The sequence below is a fragment of the Homo sapiens genome, chromosome 1 (assembly GCF_000001405.40).
Source record: "Homo sapiens chromosome 1, GRCh38.p14 Primary Assembly".
Lineage (NCBI taxonomy): Eukaryota > Metazoa > Chordata > Mammalia > Primates > Hominidae > Homo > Homo sapiens.
This window is the reverse complement of record NC_000001.11, coordinates 26,430,702-26,450,862: the sequence shown is the minus strand read 5'-3', so window position 1 is coordinate 26,450,862 and position 20,161 is coordinate 26,430,702. Positions and strand designations below refer to the sequence as shown.

General features: G+C 46.1%; 1 protein-coding gene and 1 long non-coding RNA gene across 21 annotated transcripts in view, besides 6 other annotated features; one reads left to right on the top strand and one right to left on the bottom strand.

Annotated features, from left to right (window-relative positions):
* DHDDS (dehydrodolichyl diphosphate synthase subunit) overlaps positions 1–18,542 on the bottom strand; it is a 38,986-nt gene extending 20,444 nt beyond the window's left edge. For 2 of the 20 annotated variants that reach the window (XM_047430849.1, XM_047430853.1), the window contains exons 1-6: positions 18,345–18,542; positions 17,855–17,972; positions 12,579–12,695; positions 7,990–8,132; positions 4,431–4,547; positions 3,203–3,304 (exon numbers count right to left, since the gene is read on the bottom strand). In XM_047430849.1, coding sequence (XP_047286805.1) covers positions 3,203–3,304; positions 4,431–4,547; positions 7,990–8,132; positions 12,579–12,695; positions 17,855–17,917 — 542 coding nt within the window. In that variant the 5' untranslated portion in view covers positions 17,918–17,972; positions 18,345–18,542. Of the gene's footprint in view, positions 1–3,202; positions 3,305–4,430; positions 4,548–7,989; positions 8,156–12,578; positions 12,696–17,854; positions 17,973–18,344 lie in introns of all 20 variants that reach the window. The other 18 variants (XM_047430851.1, XM_047430856.1, XM_047430850.1 and 15 more) reach the window with 10 other exon arrangements.
* Positions 18,223–18,712: an enhancer, noted in NCBI's record as "active region_503". NCBI's record gives its function as "activates an Ori minimal core promoter by ATAC-STARR-seq in GM12878 lymphoblastoid cells {active_cell/tissue: GM12878}" and the evidence as "EXISTENCE:reporter gene assay evidence [ECO:0000049][PMID:35858748]".
* Positions 18,223–18,786: a biological region, named in NCBI's record as "H3K27ac hESC enhancer GRCh37_chr1:26758568-26759104".
* Positions 18,250–18,786: an enhancer, noted in NCBI's record as "H3K27ac hESC enhancer chr1:26758568-26759104 (GRCh37/hg19 assembly coordinates)". NCBI's record gives its function as "activates a minimal SCP1, AML or CMV promoter by ChIP-STARR-seq in naive H9 embryonic stem cells {active_cell/tissue: H9 hESC(naive)}" and the evidence as "EXISTENCE:reporter gene assay evidence [ECO:0000049][PMID:30033119]".
* LOC124903883 (uncharacterized) lies at positions 18,626–20,108 on the top strand. The gene is made up of 2 exons (XR_007065557.1): positions 18,626–18,890; positions 19,745–20,108. It is a non-coding gene; the product is annotated as an uncharacterized LOC124903883 (long non-coding RNA).
* Positions 18,787–19,323: an enhancer, noted in NCBI's record as "H3K27ac-H3K4me1 hESC enhancer chr1:26758031-26758567 (GRCh37/hg19 assembly coordinates)". NCBI's record gives its function as "activates a minimal SCP1, AML or CMV promoter by ChIP-STARR-seq in naive H9 embryonic stem cells {active_cell/tissue: H9 hESC(naive)}" and the evidence as "EXISTENCE:reporter gene assay evidence [ECO:0000049][PMID:30033119]".
* Positions 18,813–18,872: an enhancer, noted in NCBI's record as "active region_502". NCBI's record gives its function as "activates an Ori minimal core promoter by ATAC-STARR-seq in GM12878 lymphoblastoid cells {active_cell/tissue: GM12878}" and the evidence as "EXISTENCE:reporter gene assay evidence [ECO:0000049][PMID:35858748]".
* Positions 18,943–19,002: an enhancer, noted in NCBI's record as "active region_501". NCBI's record gives its function as "activates an Ori minimal core promoter by ATAC-STARR-seq in GM12878 lymphoblastoid cells {active_cell/tissue: GM12878}" and the evidence as "EXISTENCE:reporter gene assay evidence [ECO:0000049][PMID:35858748]".

Below are 20,161 nucleotides of genomic sequence, written 5' to 3'. Positions count from 1 at the left end.
AAAGCACAAAAATATAATGAACTACGAAAGTACCTCCAAACTAAGAATTTTATTGAAAACATGCTTCTATTTCTATACCCCTTTTCTGTCTCATCTTCCTGCCTGCTCTCTACCTCTGCTAACTCCACCAGTCTCTTAATTGTTTTAACAACAGCTGATTTTCACTCTACATCTTAATTGACCTCTCTACAGCATTTGACACCATTGTTTCCATGGGTGCCCTACCCCTTCCCAACTTGCACCAACAAACTCCCTCTTTTCTTGGCTTATGTAATGCTGGCTGCCCTGGTTTTCTTCCTGCTTTTCTGTGTTTTTGCTTATAAAGCTTATTCTCCTCTACCCAGCCAGTAAAGGGTAGAGTTCCTCAAAAATGCCATCTTAGGCTCTTTCTTCTTCTCACTCTACACTCCTTAACAGGCAGGGCTGAGTGGCTCACACCTGTAATCTCAGCATTTTGGGAGGCCAGGGCAAGAAGACCACTTGAGGCCAGGAGTTCAAGACCATCCTGGGCAACAAAGTCAGACCCTGTTTTTACAAAAAATAAATATAAAAAGTTAGCTGGGTAGGTGGTGCACGTCTGTAGTACTGGGTACTTGAGAGGCTCCTTTGAGACCAGGAGTTCCAAGCTTCAGTGAGCTTTGATTGCCCCACTGCACTCCAGCCCAGGAGACAGTGTGAGACCATCTCTAAATAGATAAATACACAGATAGACAGACAGACTCTCCTTAGCTTTCTCATCCCCTCTTTGCTCAAGTTAACCTATACACAGATGGCTTCCATACTGGCGACAGAGATAAACCCTGTCTGAACTGTTGACCTGACATCTCTGTCTGACTGTTGACCTGACTATACCAATCCCTCGCTGAACTGTTGACCTGACATCTCTGTTCAACATGTACAGGATATCCAAAACCAAACTGCTGACCCTTTTCAACTGGATTTTCTCTCAGGGTTACCTAGCATGGTGAAGGGCACCACTATCCACTGTAACGTAAGTCTAAAACCGCCGGGCGCGGTGGCTCACGCCTGTAATCCCAGCACTTTGGGAGGCCGAGGTGGGCGGATTACCTGAGGTGGGGAGTTTGAGACCAGCCTGGCCAACATAGTGAAACCCCGTCTCTACTAAAAATACAAAAATTAGCTGGGCATGGTGGCATGCCCCTGTAATCCCAGCTACTCAGGAGGCTGAGGCAGAAGAATCGCTTGAGCCCAGGAGGCGGAGGTTGCAGTGAGCCGAGATTGTACCATTGCATTCCAGCCTGGGCAAGAGTGAGACTCTGTCTCCAAAAAAAGAATTAGCTGAGCATGGTGGCACACACCTGTAGTCCCAGCTACTTGGAAGGCTGAAGTGGGAGGACTGCTTGGGCCCGGGAGGCACAGACTACAGTGGGCCGAGATCACACCACTGCACGCCAGCCTGGGCGATAGAGTGAGTCCCTGTCTCAAAATAAAAATAAAAATGGGCCAGGAGTGATGGCTCATGCCTGGAATCTCAGCACTTTGGGAGGCTGAGGCAGACAGATCACTTGAGGTTGGGAGTTCAAGACCAGCCTCGCCAACATGGTGAAACCCCGTCTCTACTAAAAAATACAAAAAATTAGCTGGGCACGGTGGTGGGCGCCTGTAATCCCAGCTACTTGGGAAGCTGAGGTGGAAGAATTGCTGGAACCTGGGAAGCGGAGGTTGCAGTGAGCCAAGATCTCGCCATTGCACTCCAGCCTGGAGACAGAGCGAGACTCCATCTCAAAAAAATAAATAAAATAAAAAATAAAAATAAATAAATAAAAATAAAATATTTGTTGAATGAATGAACTATGTGACAGAGAAATGTCACCCAGCTGTTAGGAAGGAGAGGCATTCATAAAATAGCCTCAAAAACTGTCTCCTCTCCTTTTTATCTAATTCTATTCTCACCAAGTAACTTTTTGATTTTTAATCTAGTTTCCTAGGTCAATCGAATCGGGAAGGGAACCAGAAAAATTCCTGCTTCCCAAGATCCCACATAATAGAGGTAAAGGATAAGAACCCTAAAATCAAACAGCTTTAGATATGAGTCCCAGCTCTGGCACTTACTAGTAGAGTGACCCTGGGCAAGTCACTTCAATGCTGAACTCAGTTTTCTCATCTACACAATGGACAACAGCCTTGAATCTCTCACACATAAGGTTAATGACTTAATGAAATACAGAACACAACACATCTCCTGGGTTATTTTTTGCTACTATTATTTTACTATTGCTGTTAGTTTACAAATATATTAAAAGTTACATAAATAATAACATGAGAGGGACCAAATATTTAAATGGCTTCAAAAGTCTCTCCACCTTTAATAATTAGGATTCCACTATGTTGACAATAATTAATAATTTTCTTTTTGAAAAATCCCTGAATCGGCTGGGCATGGTGACTCACGCCTGTAATCCCAGCACTTTGGGAGGCTGAGGCAGGCAGATCACGACGTCAGGAGTTCGAGACTAGCCTGGCCAATATGGTGAAACCTGTCTCGACTGAAAATACAAAAATTAGCTGGGCATGGTGGCATGCACCTGTAGTCCCAGCTGCTTGGGAGGCTGAGGCGGAAGAATTGCTTGAACCTGGGAGGTGGAGGTTGCAACTCCAGCCTGGGCAACAGAGTGAGACTTTGCCTCACCAAAAAAAAAAAAAAAAAAGAAAAGAAAAACACCTGAATCTTGTGTGGAACTAGAACATGAGAGACCTAAAGAACTCTAGCCCCAACAAACTGCATTCATGAAAAGTCATTCTTGGAAAAACACTACCAAAGGGCCAGGAGGGTATAATTTGTAAAGGAATAATAACATGGCTTTGTCATCTGCTTTGCTCTTTCTCTGGGGTTTCTTGGTGTGTGGTGAACTCTAGTTCTGAAGCAGGTTGTAATAAGCCAATCCTAATCTCTAAATTTGGGAGATCCCCTTAAATCTTTCCACATGCTCCCCTAATTAGACCTCTGGCCAAGTACATGGCACAGAGGGGCTTTATGGTTTGGTACAGGCCTGCTTTTTTGTTGTTGTTGTTGAAAAGAGGGAGTTTTGCCATGTTGGCCAGGCTGGTCTTGAACTCCTGGCCTGCCTCAAGTGGACTGCCCACCTCGGCCTCCTAATGTGCTAGGATTACAGGCGTGAGCTGCCATGCTGGCCCAGGCCTGTTTTCCTTAACAATTACCATGCAAAACAACTCGGGATACCTGGGATCCAACAGGCCTTGCTCCACCCCCCAGGCCATCTCTCTCACAGCATTGCTGATCTCATGACGGGATGTGTATGCAAAACAGACATTCAGGAAACACCTGAGGAGGGAAGAAGAGAATAATTTACCAAAGGGGGACAGGGACTGATGATTGAAGTCACTGATTACAGAGAAGCCCTTCCAGCCTTTCCCTAGAAAAACAAATACACATCAAATGTTAATTGTGGATACCTCTGAAAGGTGAAATTATGAGTTTTTTGTGGTTTCCAAGTTTTCTTGGAATAAACATGTAACTAGTTTTATAATAAGACAAATACTAAATGGCTCCTTTTTTTTTTGAGACAGAGTTTTGCTCTTGTCGCCCAGGCTGAAGTGCAATGGCGTGATCTCGACTCACTGCAACCTCTGCCTCCTGGGTTCAAGCGATTCTTCTGCCTCAGCCTCCCGAGTAGCTGGGATTACAGGTGCACACCACCACACCTGGCTAATTTTTGTATTTTTAGTAGAGATGGGGTTTCACCATGTTGGCCAGGCTAGTCTTGAACTCCTGACTTCAGGTGATCCACCTGCCTAGGATGACAGGCGTGAGCCACTGTGCCCAGCCACCAAATAGCTCCTATTGCCGTCCTAACCCTCTCCCCTTCTACTGTACACCGGCTTTCAGAGGAAGACTCTACTGTGATATTGGCACAAACAAAGGAAAATAGGAAGGAGATTTGATGTAAAACAAGTCCACTGCCAAAATACACGTTATATTTCAAAGCTACACATCACAGAGTTTGGATTATTGAACTCTATTCCCCTGTACATCTGTATGACCTCCCAAGGTCATCCTATCCATAGGTTAAAGGAGTGGAACAGAACAAGAATTTCTTGAAGGATCTGTCTTCAAAGTCAGGGATAAGAACTGCTGTATTCCGATCCCATTCCCTGTCAAGTAAAAACACACCCACACACACACACACACACACTTATTTGGTGGGGGCTGGGCAGAGAAAGGAGGAAAGAGAAACTATGTGTATGTGTCAGTATACACACATATAACATGTTATTGCAGAATCATGTCTGGTGTGCCCTGCAGACGGAGAAAGTCTCTAAGCTGCTCAACCTACTCTCTCATTGCCCCTTGCACCAATCCAGACCAAGGAAAGCCCAGGACGTCTCCCTAAAGCCAGCAGGGAATCAAAGATTGAAACAGCTCCCTATAGGGAAATCTGAGAACTTACTTGTTGTAGTTCTTCGTGGCCTGTACAGCTTGTGCAATCAGCTCCTGGAGATCCAAGGGCAACAAGTGCAGATCGCCCAGGACCCGGATACACACCCCATGCTTCTGCAGTTTCTCCCTGATCAGGGAAAAGAGGCAGCATTGGGATAGGGCCCCTGCTGAGCTGGAGAGAGCAAGGTGCTCAGGTAATAACTGACCACCAGTTTTTTGAGTGCTTTCCTGTGTGTCAGACCCTGTTCTACATGCATTATTTCATTGCATCCCTTCAACAACTCTGAAAGAAACTTACTTCAGTGCCAAGGCTCAGACAGGACAGTCAGATAGGGACTGCCCAGGGTCATATAGCCATCAAGTGCTTTGTCAGGATTGAAACCCAGTTTGTCTGATTTGAGAACCCAAATTCTTTTTCTTGAGATGGAGGCTTGCTCTGTCACCCAGGCTGGAGTGCAGTGGCGCAATCTCAGCTCACTGCAACCTCCGCATCCCGGGTTTAAGCGATCCTCCCACCGCAGCCTCCCAAGTAGCTGGGATTACAGGTGCCCACCACCAGGCCTGGCTAATTTTTATATTTTTAGTAGAGATGAGGTTTCACCATGTTGGCCAGGCTGGTCTCGAACCCTTGACCTCAAGTGATCTGCCTGTCTCGGCCTCCCAAGTGCTGAGATTACAGGCATGAGCCACTGCGCTCAGCCCCAAACTACATTTTTTTTTCCCCTTTTTTGGAGACAGGGTCTTACTCTCACCCAGGCTGGAGTGCAGTGGTATACTCATGGTTCAGTGTTAACTTCCAAATCCTGGGCTCAAGCGATCCTCCTGCCTCAGCCTCCCAAGTAGCTGGGACTAAAGGCATGCACCACCATGCCTGGCTAATTTTTGTATTTTTTGTAAAGATGAGGTCTCACTATGTTGCCCAAGGTGGTCTCAAACTCCTGGCCTCAAGTGATCCTCCTGCCTGAGCCTCCCAAAGTGCTAGGATTACAGGTGTGAGCCACCATGTCCAGCAAGAACCCAAACTCTTTACTATACATTACACGACCTCATGTGTCCTTTTTGGGCAGTTGCATTTTATGTATCTGTGAAGTTTGTCCCATTTGAGAAGTGAGTAAACTCCTCAAGGGAAGGAGCTGTATTATGGGGTACTTTTGTTATGTTCTAGTGAAATATTATGATAATGGTGACAGCTAACATTCTATGTTTACTAAATGCCAGATATTGGTCTAAGTGCTTTACATGTACCAACACATTCCATCCTTACACCAACCTCTGAGTTATATACCCTTATTATTCCCCTTTTACAGATGAGGAAACTGAGGCACAGGGACGTTAGGTAATTTGTTTGGACAGCTGATGGAGAACCAGGATTTGCACGTAGGGAGTCAGCCTCCAGAGCTTGTCTTCTTAATTATGACATTATATTGCTTCCATACAATAACTCCCAAACTCTGCATACAGTGAGAATGAATTCAGCCAGCTTCTCTCATCTGGAAATGCTATGAAGAAACCGAATGCTTCACATTTGGAAAATGGGAGATTAATTGAAGGCAGTATACTAGAAGACCTTGATTCAGCTCCTCCTGCTAGCTTGTGGTATAGTTCTGCCACTAGTTTGATGTGTGACCATGTGTAAGCTCTTGTCTTCTGTTTTTTAAAATTTTAATTTACTTATTTTTAATTATTTTTTCTGAGACAGGGTCTCGATCTGTTGCACAGGATGGAGCATAGTGGATCGATCACAGCTCATTGCAGCCTCAGACTCCCCAGGCTCATCACAGTGATCCCCCCACTTCAGCCTCCCACATAGCTGGGATTATAGGCATGTGCCACCATCCCCAGTTAATTTTTTTGTATTTTTTTGTAGAGATGGGGTTTTGCCATGTTGCCTAGGCTGGAATCAAGCAAATTCCTGGACTCAAGCAATGTACCCTCCTTGGCTTCCCAAAGTGCTGAGATTACAGGCATGAGCCACCTTGCTCAACCTCTTCTCTTTACTAGGGTTTAGTTTCCCAACTGATGAAACAGAATCAGGCCAGTGGTTTTCCCACCTTCTTTTAGCCAAAGAACCCTTTCTTCAAATCAAATTCTACACAGAAGCCCAACACATAAAATAGGTAAATGCAACTCAGCACCCCCTACCCCATTCCCACTAGGTTCTTTCTACACCTCCTCAGACCTTGGGGTTCTGTGGCACATTAATGGAAAAGCACCTCTGAGTTTCTTCTTGCTTTTGCCAGGACTTCATGATAAACGAAGACCATTTTCTCTACTACTAACTGATCAGCGCAATCTCATTAGCATCTCTTCTGCCATGCGTTTTGATCTTGCAGGAATTGTAATATGGTCTGTCTCTCAGAGCACAGTGTAGTAGATGATAGCTCAGCTCTGGAGTCAAAAAGATCCAGGTGTGCACCTTGGCTCTGCCTGTCTGATAGCTGTGTGACCCAGGATATATGCCTTAACTTCTTTGGTTAACTACTTTCCTTCTCTCTAAAAATTGGCTAATAATATCTTTGTCATGGTATAATGTGATTACAGGATGAGTAAGAATATATTTTAGGCTCAAAGCCTGGCATATAGTAAACACTTTAAAAAGGTAAGATTAGTGGGATATGCCCCCCATGCCTCCATCCCCGGCTCCTTAGGTGTAAACTCTGAGCCACACAGGCTCTGCTGGGGACCGGGGAGCAATGTCTGTAGCCCAGAGTCTCACCATCCTAATATAGACAGAAGGAAGCCTGGCTACCCTCCCTACCACCCATTGTTCTAGGCTCATCTTCACTGGAGTTCTAGGCTCACTGTTCTCTCATCTTCCTGGTACAGGTAGGAGCTGGGCACACAACAGTTGTAACTAAGACTTTCGGGCAATTCTGGCTGGTAAGGGCTCCATACTTTGAAGCAAGCAGTCTCCACTGAAATTTGTCTTTGCCCCTCTCTGGCTTTATTCCCTAAGTTAAGCCTAAACTTACTGACAGCTAAGAATGGTACTGATGCTTCCCCATAAATGTCTCTTATGCATCATCCTATCCCTCCCAAAAGACTATGCAGGGGGAGTACAGTAACTTTTTAGGGTTCACTGTGCAGCAGAAAATGACTTCCTCAATGTTTTCTTTAACTCCACTTCCTTGGCCATAGTTTATTGGCTCTGGGGTAGAAATCTGATAGAATTTAGGGATCCCAATTAAGGGATTTTATTGATTCCAGGCTGCTCTTTTGAAGCAAGAGAAAACTGGTCTGCAGAGAGAGGTGGAAATAAATGAATACAGAGGTTCTACCTAGTGGGTTTAATTCCTGGTTTCAGTTTTGCTTGAGGCTGGCTGTACTTGTTCTTAAATCATGTGACACCCCTCAATATCCTCAAATAAATGCCCCCTTTTTTATTAAAAAGTTAGAAATAAAGAATGAAAGACTATCTTGTATTTCTGATATTTGCCACCCAAGATATCTAACTAACATTAAAAAGAGTTGCAAGTCCCTTAAGTAAGCCTCAGATAACAGAATTTCAAGGGTTAGGATAAGGCTGGGGGTGGTGGAAGAACATGCTCTCCCCTCTGATAGCATCTTACTTTTCTTCCATCAAGCGGCTGAACTTCTGCCGGGCCAGATCCATAAGCCCGTCTACCTCACTCTTGGAGCGTTTGAAGTTCTCAATGCTGAATGCGTAGACTGTCACCTCTAGGATGCCCAGGTTCAAACACCACCGCAGAGTCTGAGAGGGGAGAAGGCAAGGAGCTAGGATACAAGGAAGAGTGGGAAGGGGAAATAAGAGATACTTTTTGGTCCTGACTCAGAGTTGGAGATAGGAGACAGACTTTTCTCCTCCCCAAAGCTGGGTGAAGCTAGGATAACATCAGTGTTTATGTCAGAATTAATGCATCAAATAAGCAGAAAACCACCATTGAAGAAACTGAAAAATGTGATCTTAGTGAATGCTGATGGCATTGTGCACTACAAGAAAGAACTCTGCACTGAGAGTGTAAAGACATAGGCTCTAGTCCCTGACTCCAGCATGCACTTATGTGACTGGAATCAAATCATTTAATTTCTCTAGGTTGAAGTCTCCTTACCTGTAATATGGGATCACAATCCATCCCTTACAAGGTGGCTAACGAACAATATAAAAACACAAGGTGTTATTACTCACAGCATAACTTCATTATTCTGGTAGGTTGAGAGGCTGAGTTAAAAGAAAAAAAGCAACAACTGGACAGCTGTGTAGCATTTAATAGCCTGCAAAGGGTTTTCACATAATTTCATTTGATTCTTTGAACAACCACTTTAAAATGACACTACTGTTTTCATGCCTACTTTACAAATGATAAAACAGGCTCAGAGTTGAAGAATATGTCAAAAATCCTCAACTGTCTGATTCCATTATATGGAGTTCTAGAATGGGAAAAACAAATTTATAGTTACAGAAATCAGAACGGTAGTTGCCTAGAGAGGAAAAGGAGGAGGTAGAACAGAAGTTGATTGAGAAGGGGCACCAGGGAATTTTTTTGGAGAGATGGAAATGTCCTACATCTTTTTTTTTTTTTTTTTTTAAGCTGGAGTCTTGCTCTGTCACCCAGGCTGGAGTGCAGTGGTGCAATCTTGGCTCACTACAACCTCCACCTCCTACGTTCAAGTGATTCTCCTGCCTCAGCCTCCCGAGTAGCTGGGCCTACAGGCATGTGCCACCACATCTGGCTAACTTTTTGTATTTTTAGTAGAGATGGGGTTTCGCCATGCTGACCAGGCTGGTCTCGAACTCCTGACCTCAGGTGATTGCCTGCCTTGGCCTCCCGAAGTGCTGGGATTACAGGCATGAGCTACTGAGCCCGGCAGGAAATGTCCTATATCTTGACAGGGGTATGGGTTAGATAAATAAATGCAATTGTCAAAACCTAAAATCTGTGCAGTTCACCATATGAAATTATAACTCAAAAAGAAATGAAACTGGCTGGGTGTGGTGGGTCTCTCCTATAACCCTAGCACTTTGGGAGGCCAAGGTGGGCAGATTACCTGAGGTTGGGAGTTCAAGCCCAGCCTGGCCAACATGGTGAAACCCCATTTCTACTAAAAATACAGAAACTTAGCTGGGTGCGGTGGCGCACACCTGTATTCCCAGCTACTTGGGAGGCTGAGGCAGGAGAATCGCTTGAACCAGTGAGTGGAGATCTCACCACTGCACTCCAGCCTAGACTACAGAGTGAGACTTCAACTCAAAAAAAAACAGGCCGGGCGTGGTGGCTCACACCTATAATCCCAGCACTTTGGGAGGCCAAGGCAGGCGGATCACGAGGTCAGGAGTTCAAGACCAGCCTGACCAACGTGGTGAAACCCCGTCTCTACTAAAAATGCAAAAATTAGCCGGGTGTGGTGGCGCAGGCCTGTAATCCCAGTTACTCAGGAGGCTGAGGCAGGAGAATCGCTTGAACCTGGGAGGCGGAGGTTGCAGTGAACTGAGATCGCGCCACTGCACCCCAGCCTGGGTGACAGAGCAACACTCCGTCTCAAAAAAAAAAAAAAAGAAGAAAACTTAGTCCTTTGGGGCTGCTCTAATCCTGTACCACTAAAGGTGGAGAACAATGTTGAGAGGTGGAGGACAATGTTGAGAGATGGAGAGCGGGAGGTTAAACGTAGACAACAGAAGACATTCAAACAGAACAGAAGAAACAAGCTGAAGAGCTGCCTCTCTAACCCCTTAACAAACATACAAGCAAACAAATCTACTGTCATCTTAGGAAAATTGCCAGTGAGAACCTGACACTTGAATAGCCTCAGGCCCTAAAGACCTTGCAAGGCAGCCACTGTGGATGGCACATCTGGGTTGGAACCCACCACTGACATCAGTCAATACAGTTGCTAATAACAAGTTTCAATTTTTTGAGTACTTCCTTTAGGTCAGGGCCTGTGCTACATGCTTTTCATTGTGCCATCTTATTTATCTTCAAATAATCTACTGAGATAGAGATTGCTAACCCCATTTTATAGATGAAGAAACTGAGGCAAAGGGAAGCTACATAACTCGCTGCAGGTCACAAAGCCAGACAGTGACAAAGCAGGGGTGCCAATGAATTCTGAGTGACTCCAGAGCTCAAGCTCCTAAGCATTAGGCAAAACTGCCTCTCAGTTACAAAAGAGAAGCTGGAGTCAACAAACGTAAAGACTTCTACAAGGTTCTGGTGAGAACCTCACTGCCATTCACTCAAGGAAAAAAATATCACGGCCCTGGCATCAAACTGTGTCCCTGTGCTAGGACACTGGGACCTGTGAACTACAGACCATATTTCCATTCTTTTATTTATTTATTTTTTTTGAGACGGAGTCTCACTCTGTTGCCCAGGCGGAGTGCAGTGGCACAATCTTGGCTCACTGTAAGCTCCGCCTCCTGGGTTCATGCCATTCTCCTGCCTCAGCCTCCCGAGTAGCTGGGACTACAGGTGCCCGCCACCACGCCCGGCTAACTTTTTGTATTTTTAATAGAGATGGGGTTTCACCGTGTTAGCCACGATGGTCTTGATCTCCTGACCTCATGATCCGCGCACCTCAGCCTCCCAAAGTGCTGGGATTACAGGCGTAAGCCACCGCGCCCGGCCCTCCATTCTTCTTAAAAATTTCACCAAGATTGTCATATTCCATTCTTTTGTTAAACTTAATGTCTTCCAATTTATAACATGCATTATACCATAAAATGTTCATGACCTCTGTGTAGAGTGATGTCCTGGTTTGCCGGGGACTTTCACCAGTTTTAGCACTGAAAGACCTGTGTCCTGAGAAACCCCTCAGCCTTGGCAAAGCAGAATGAGTAGTCACTCAATGTTCGTCCAGAAATGTCACTTCTAAGAATTTATCCAAAAAGAGTACTTTTTTTTTTTAGACAAGGTCTTGCTCTGTCACCAGGTTGGATTGCGGTGACGTGAACACAGCTCACTGCAGCCTCAACCTCCAGGGTTCAAGTCATCCTTCCACCTCAGTCTCGTAAGTAGCTGGGACCACAGGCATGCACCATCATGCTTGGCTAATTTTTTTTTTTGTTTTGTAGAGACAGGATCTCACCATGTTGCCCAGGCTGAAACAGTACTATTTATAATGTTTATTGTAATGTCAAGTAATAGTGGAGCAGTTAAATTATATCAGATCCTCTTGATAAAATGTTCTACAGTCATTGAAAGATACAGATAGAAAGCTTATATATACACCTTAAAAAATGCCTCCCCAAATGTTGGCCGGGTGCAGTGGCTCATGCCTGTAATCCCAGCACTTTGGGAGGCTGAAGGGGGTGGATCACCTGAGGTCAGGAGTTCGAGACCAGCCTGGCCAACATGGTGAAACCCCATCTCTACTAAAAATACAAAAAAATTAGTTGGACATGGTGACGGGTGTTCAATCTCAACTACTCAGGAGGCTGAGGCAGAAAATCACTTGAACCCGGGAGGCGGAGGTTGCCGTGAGCAGAGATCATGCACTGTACTCTGGCCTGGGCAACAGAGTGAGACTGTCTCAAACAAATAAACAAAACCAAAATGTTAAGTGAAAATAAGGTTACTGAAGCTACAGATGCAATTTTATTAATGTTAAGTCACGTAGAGCATACAATAAGGATTGGATGAGGCATAAAATATAAACTATTGATTTATTAAAATAAGAAGAGGCAATTTTGTTCTTATTTCCAGTATTTTATGGTCATTCACTGGATGATTACTTCTTTGTTAATGTCATTTTTTTTTTCTTGAGATGGTGTCACTCTGTCACCCAGGCTAGAGTACAGGGGCACAATCTCTATTCACTGCAGCCTCAAGCTTCCTGGGCTCAGATAGTCCTCCCACCTCAGCCTCCTGAGTAGCTGGGGGCACAGGTGTGCACCATCAAGTCTGGCTAATTTTTAAATTTTTTTGTAGAGACAGGGTCTGACTATGTTACCCGGGCTAGTCCTGAACCCCTGGGCTCAAGCAATCCTCCTGCCTTGGCCTCCCAAAGTGTGGGATTAGAGGCAAAAGCAACCACGTCTGGCCAATGTCAAGATGAGATCTATAGCTAGCAAGCAAACAATAAAACACAGAGACAGATACAAAAAACACTCTCCAACCACAGCAAACTCAGAGCCTGGTTTTCTAGCTATAATCTACCTCTCCACAGACTGTTCACTTTGGGCTCTGCCATACACACCCACCTCAGCTAGCTTGTTGAAGCCCTGTGAGTGGCCTTCCTGCCGCTCCACCTGGCACTTCTTGGCATAGCGACGGTTCCCGTCCATTATGAATGCAATGTGTTTCGGCATTGGGCCTGCCTGTGGAATAGGAAGACAAATGATGAACAGGTCTCATATTCTTCAGGGATAAAGGAAGACACTACACCCCAAGGTGATATGTTTGGGCTATGTGATGAAAACCCTGACGAAGGGAATTGGGTACTTTGTGCTTTTAACTCAGTAAAAAGACATTAAAGTTTACTTACTTAGTTACTTACTTTATTTTGAGGCAGGATCTCACTTAGTCACCCAGGTGGGAATGCAATGGTATGATCACAGCTGACTGTAGCCTTGGCCTCCTGGGCTCAAGTGATCCTCCCACCTCTGCCTCCCGCTGAGTAGCCAGGGCTACCAGCACATGCCACCACACCTACCTATCCTTTTTTCTTTTCTTTTCTTTTTTTTTTTTTCTTTTTTTAAGAGATGGGGTCGGCCGGGCATGGTGGCTCACGCCTGTAATCCCAGCACTTTGGGAGGCTGAGGTGGGCAGATCACTTGAGGTCAGGCATTCGAGACCAGCCTGGCCAACATGGCGAAACCCAGTCTCTACTAAAAATACAAAAATTAGCCGGGTATGATGGCACATGCCTGTAGTCCCAGCTACTCTACTCGGGAGGCTGAGGCAGGAGAATCGCTTGAACCCAGGAGGTGGAGGTTGCAGTCAGTTGAGATCGTGCCACTGCACTCCAGCCTGGGTGACACAGCGAGACTCTGTCTCAAAAAAAAAAAAAGATGGTGTGTTTCCCTATGTTAACCAGGTCTCGAACTCCTGGGCTCAAGCAATCCTCCTTCATCAGCCTCCCGAAGTGCTGGGATTAAAAAAGGCATGAGCCACCATAGCTGGCCTACTTATTTTTATTTACGTGTTTACTGAGCACGTACTACATGCCAAATACTATGCTGGGCTTCTTATACTTCATCTTATCATACAAGTCTGTAAAGTAAATAGTATTATCTTCATTTTACAGGTGGAAAAACAAGCTCAGAGAGTTCTAGTGACTTGCATAAGCCACACAGTTTTGTTCTGTTTTTTTTTTGAGAAGGAGTCTCGCTCTGTCGCCCAGGCTGGAGTGCAGTGGCACGATCTCGGCTCATTGCAACCTCTGCCTCCTGGGTTCACGCCATTCTCCTGCCTCAGCCTCCCGAGTAGCTGTGACTACAGGCACCTGCCACCATGCCCAGCTAATTTTTTATATTTTTAGTAGAGACGGGGTTTCACCGTGTTAGCCAGGATGGTGGCGATCTCCTGACCTTGTGATCTGCCTGCCTCAGCCTCCCAGAGTGCTGGGATTACAGGCGTGAGCCAGCACGCCCGGCCCAGTCACGCGGTTAAGAAGAGGCAAATAGGGATTCAAACTGATGTCCATCTGCTTCCAGAGTTAATCTTTCAACCATATGCTCTTAAATACAGGCTTGGTTTAGTTGGTCTCCAACTAGAAAGCAAAAGGAAAAAATTTTTTTTCTTTGAAACAGGGTCTTACTCAGGCCAGGCACAGTGGCTCATACCTGTAATCCCAGCACTTTGGGAGGCCGAGGCGGGTAGATCACGAGGTCAGGAGATCGAGCCCATCCTGGCTAACACGGTGAAACCCCGTCTCTACTAAAAATACAAAAAGTTAGCCGGGCGTGGTGGTGGGCGCCTGTAGTCCCAGCTATTTGGCAGGCTGAGGCAGCAGAATGGCATGAACCCGGGAGGCGGAGCTTGCAGTAAGCCGAGATGGCGCCACTGCACTCCAGCCTGGATGACAGAGCGGGACTCTGTCTCAAAACAAACAAACAAACAAACAAACAAACAAACAAACAAAACAGAGTCTTACTCTATTACCCAAGGTGGATGGAGTGTGGTGGTGTTATCTCAGGTCATTTGCAACCTCCACCTTTCGGGAGGAGAAAGGTCCTCCCACTTCAATTCCCCAAGTAGCTGGGACTACAGGAATACACCACCACACCCAGCTAATTTTTTTATATTTTGTAGAGACGGGGGTCTCACCATGTTGGCCAGGCTGCTCTCGAACTCCTGGGATCAAGAGATCTACTCGATTTGGCCTCCCAAAGTGCTGGGATTACAGGTTTGAACCATCGTGTCTGGCCAGGAAAAATTTTGATGGGCATAGTCAAATGAAGATGGTACCTTCCACAGAAAAAAGGAACTCATAGGGCCAGGTGCAGTGGCTCACGTCTGTAATCCCAGCACTTTGGGAGGCCAAGGTGGGTGGATCACTTGAGGTCAGGAGTTCAAGACCAGCCTGGCCAACATGTTGAAACCCCATCTCTACTAAAAATGTGAAAATTAGGGCTGGGCACAGTGGCTCATGCCTGTAATCTCAGCACTTTGGGAGGCGAAGGCGGGCAGATCACGAGGTCAGGAATTCAAGACCAGGCTGGCCAGTATGGTGAAACCCCGTCTCTACTAAAAATACAAAAATTAGCCAGGTGTGGTGGCAGATGCCTGTAACACCAGCTACTTGGGAGGCTGAGGCAGGAGAACTGCTTGAACCCGGGAGGCAGAGGTTGCAGTGAGCCAAGATCACGCCACCACACTGCAGCCTGGGCGACAGAGCAAGACTCCATCTCGGAAAAAAGAAAAAAACAAAAACAAAAATTAGCCAGGTGTGGTGGTGGGAGCCTGTAATCCCAGCTACTTAGGAGGCTGAAGCAGGAGAATGGCTTGAACCCGGGAGGCAGAGGTTGCAGTGAGCCGAGATAGCACCACTGCACTCCAGCCTGGGTGACAGAGTAAGACTCTGTCTCAAAAAAAAAAAAAAAAAAAAAAAAAGGCACTAATTCCTGACCTCTAGCCAACTGCTGACACACAGGAACTGGGGCACAACATTGCTGGATCTGGTGATCTTGCAAGAAAACCAAACATCAGGATTTTTATTAAAATTTTGCTTTTCAGCCGGGCGCAGTGGCTCATGCCTGTAATCCCAGCACTTTGGGAGGCCGAGGCGGGTGGATCACGAGGTCAGGAGTTTAAGACCAGCCTGGCCAAAATGGTGAAACCCTGTCTCTACTAAAAATAAAGAAAAATTAGCCGGGCGTGGTGGCGAGCGCCTGTAATCCCAGCTACTCGGGAGGCTGAGGCAGGAGAATTGTTTGAACCGGGGAGGCAGAGGGTACAGTGAGCTGAGATTGTGCCACTGCACTCCAGCCTGGGCGACAGAGTGAGACTCTGTCTGAAAAAAAAAAATTGTTTTTCAAAGCAAACAAAAAAGACTTTTTTTGAGCCAAACAAAACTTACTTGGGGCCGGACGTGGTGGCTCAAGCCTGTAATCCCAGTACTTTAGGAGGCTGAGGTGGGCAGATCACTTGAGGCCAGGAGTTCGAGACCAGCCTGGCCAACATGGTGAAACCCCAACTCTACTAAAAAAAAAAAAAAAAAAAATTAGCCAGGCATGGTGGCCGGTGCCTATAATCCCAGCTACTTGGGGAGGCTGAGGTGGGAGAATCGCTTGAACCCAGGAGACAGAGGTTGCAGTAAGCCAAGACTGCACCACTGCACTCTAGCCTGGGCAACAGAGTAAGACTGCATCTCAAAAAAGAAACCACAAAAAACAAAACCCTTATTTGGCTTGGAGCAGCTTTGAGTTGTCTCCCATAACACAAATGGACTCCTTAGCCTATTTTTCCTCACCTGGGAGGGCTCTTCCCTGACTGCTTCCTCATCAACACTTCTCCTTTTTCTACTTCTGTCTCACATACAGCCTTTCCAGCCCCCAAAATCCATTCAAGTTATGCAGCTTGTTCTTCCAAACATACCACTGCAGTGGTTCCCCAAGGAGATACTTCCCATTTCCTGGACTGCTTGAGATCACTTGGCATTTGTTTGTGAGCATGTGTGGGGCTTGTATAAAGGTTACTGACTCATAAATTCATTACTACCTGCTGCTTGACAGCCTGTGGTTGAAAAACAAAACCAAGCTGACTGGCCCCAATCTCAAACCTGTCTTAGGCAGATATAATATTGCTGTGATTCCTAGAGAAAAAGCTGAGGGAAGATTTGGGGAAGATAGGAGATAATAGTCTTCAAATGTCTGAAAGACAATCCTAATAATAATTAAGAACTGCTAGACATTATGCTAACTGCTTTATATTAATGTCTCATAAATTCTCATGATAATTCTACAGTTGTTAAAGTCACATGATTACTAAATGATAGAACTGGACTTTCAGGCCAGGTGCAGTGGCTCAGTCCTATAATCCCAGCACTTTGGGAGGCTGAGATAGGTGGATCACCTGAGGTCAGGAGTTCGAGACCAGCCTGGCCAATATGAGAATCCCATCTCTACTAAAAATATAAAAATTAGCCATGTGTGGTAGCATATGCCTGTAACCCCAGCTACTTGGGAGGCTAAGGCAAGAGAATTGCTTGAACTTGGCAGATGAAGGTTGCAGTAAGCCAAGATTGCGCCATTGCACTCCAGCCTGGGCGACAGAGCGAGACTCCATCTCAAAATAAAAAAAAGAACAGGAATTTCACCCATGTTTGTCTGCGTCTAGAGCCCAAACTCTTTTTTTTTTTTTTTTTTTGAGACAGAGTCTTGTTCTGAACTCTTTTTTTTGAGACAGTCCCGTTCTGTCACCCAGGCTGGAGTGTGGTGGCACAATCATGACTCACTGCAGCTTTGACCTGGGCTCAAGAAATTCTCCCACTTCAGCCTTCCGAGTAGCTGGGACTACAGGTGCACACCACCAAGCCCTGCTATTTTTTTAATTTTTTGGAGAATCGGGGTTTTGCCATGTTGCCCAGGCTGGTCTCAACTCCTGAGCTCAAACAATCTGCCCACCTCAGCCTCCCAAATTGCTGGGATTACAGGCGTGAGTGACCGGGCCCAGCTCTACTGACAGATCAAAGAATATATCAAAGATTAACCTATTTAAATCAAGAAGACAGTACATGGAACAATGGATCAATGTTCCAGGGAAACAAATTTCAGTTCTCTATAAAGAATACTTAGCAGTCTAGGCTGCCCAGTGACATTAAGAGGCCTGGGCTTCCAGAAAATATCAGAGTTAGGACAAAAGTCTACCAGAAATGTAGACCTGGAAGTTACCATTCTAAGACTCTTTGGTTTCCTTGCTAAATTCCACTTAACATCATGAATTGCACTTAACATCATCAACTTTAATAACAGGTTTTTATATAAGATTATCCAACTGACCAGAAGGCCAACCGGTGCTCTGGGCCATTGCTCACCTTTATGATGTTGGCACAGAACCGCTCCCAAAGTGACAGCTCTCCTTCCTTGATCCATGACATAGTTCTTTTCCAGTCAGAAGATCACTCCAGAACAAGCAAACACCAGCCAGGTAATCTTGGATAAACAAGAAAGAAAATAAGAAGTCACCAAGGTTTGCGAAGAGCTATAACTGACTTCTGGGGAATCAGATGGACTATGGAGAGCAGCCAGCATTAGAATCCAAAGACACTGGTCTAAGCCTATAATCTTTTACCACCCAGAGTTTTATAACGCAATGTGACCTCTGGAGGCAAAAGCCTTTCCTCGGTTCTCCTGGCTTTGCAGACTTCTTCCCATTCCCATTTCCTCCGTATCTGCACTGACTTCTTCTGAACATCTAAGTCGGTTTCCTGCCACATCATGGTGCCCACATCTTGATCATTCCCCGTTTCTTCCTTCTCCATCTTCCCCTAAGCTGTTTCCAACTCTGTGCTCCCAGTTACTAACTCCTTCAGTTATCGCACGCCTAGTACTTCACGCCTCAGTGGTCTCCTGATTATTCCCTCAGTCGTCCCTTTGCTTCTCCCGCAGCTGCTCCCCGCCCAGTCACCCTCTTCTCCTCTAGTTCACCCCTTCAGTTCAGTGGCACCTGATTAGCTCCGCTGGGCGCGTCCCCACGGCTTCAGTGGGCCGGCACTTCCTCATGACGTGGCGCTGGCAGAACACGTCATCTTTGGGCGCTGCGACACGCCCCTTCCGTCACCCAAACTGAGGGGACCCTGCCCTGCGCCTGCGCCTGCGAGCTAGTGGGAGGGCGGTTCTCAGTCCCGCGGGGTGTGGAAGCCGGCGCGGGTGAGAGCCAGGCTCACGTGACCGAGCGGGGCGGGAGGCTGGGCTCCAGGCCACGTGCTGGGAGACCAGCTGGGGAAGACAGGGTTGAGCCCAGCGTTGGGAGCGGAGGCGTCTGGAAAACGCGCCAGGGAAATGAGCCAGGGGCAAGAATCGAGGCGCTTCTCGGCCGTCGAAGGCAGCTTAGGACTGCTGAGAGACTGGGTAAGGCAGCGTCCTTACCTTGGAATGCCGCAGAACCGGGCTTCATTAGAGCACTGGTGCATACTCTTAAAAATTATCTCGTTACCGTTTCGTATTTTATTTAGTGGATTTAATCGTCTGGGAAGGAGTTTCTAGCCGCAGCCAATCTTACAGACGCGCAGAATATTAATCTATTTTGTGCCGACTTAAGGCACGCATATTTTAGGATTTGTGGATTCCCAAGACCTATCCCAACGAACTCAAGAGAAGGGGTAAGGCCAGAAAGATTTCTGCCATAAGAATGACTTCTAGGCCAGGCGCGGTGGCTCACGCCTGTAATCCCAGCACTTTGGGAGGCCGAGGCGAACGGATCACCTGAGGTCAGGAGTTTGAGACCAGCCTGACCAACATCGTGAAACCCCGTCTGTACTAAAAATACAGAAAATGAGCCGGGCGTGGTGGCGGGCGCCTGTTATCCCAGTTACTCGGGAGGGTGAGGCAAGAGAATCGCTTGAACCCGGGAGGCGGAGGTTGCGGTGAGCCAAGATCAGGCCACTGCACTCCAGCCTGGGCAACAGGAGCGAAACTCTGTCTGAAAAAAGAAAAAAAAAAAAAGCATGACTTCTAAAATAACAGAAAGGTGCTCGCTTTGGCAGTACATAAATGAAAATAACAGAAATTAACCCTGGTAGAAAAGTTAAGGGCATTAGCTCTACTGAACCTTTACGAAAAAAAGGGTTGCAAGAATTCTAGGCTCACAAAACAAATTTGTAGTTCAATTTTCTCAAAATTGAAAGAGGAGGAAAAAATTCTTTACAGATTCTTATACAACCAGTATTATTTTTATTTATTTATTTATTTATTTATTTATTTAGAGACGGAGTCTGGCTATGTCGCCCAGGCTGGAGTGCAGTGGCGCGATCTCGGCTCACTGCAGCCTCCGCCTCCCGGGTTCAAGCGTTTCTCCTGCTTCATCCTCCTGAGTAGCTGGGACTACAGGCGCGTGCCACCAAGCCTGGCTAATTTTTGTATTTTTAGTAGAGACAGGGTTTCACCATTTTGGCCAGGATGGTTTTGATCTCTTGACCTCGTTATCTGCCTGCCTAGACCTTCCAAAGTGCTGGAATTACAGGCGTGAGCCACCGCGCCCGGCCACAACCAGTATTTCTTGCAAAGCATAATACAACTTTATGTAGTATTATGTTTTGAGTGGAATAAAAATTCACAATTGTCAAAGAACCTTTTTGTCGCATTTCATTTTACAATATTATTAAAGAAATGAGGCAAGGAAG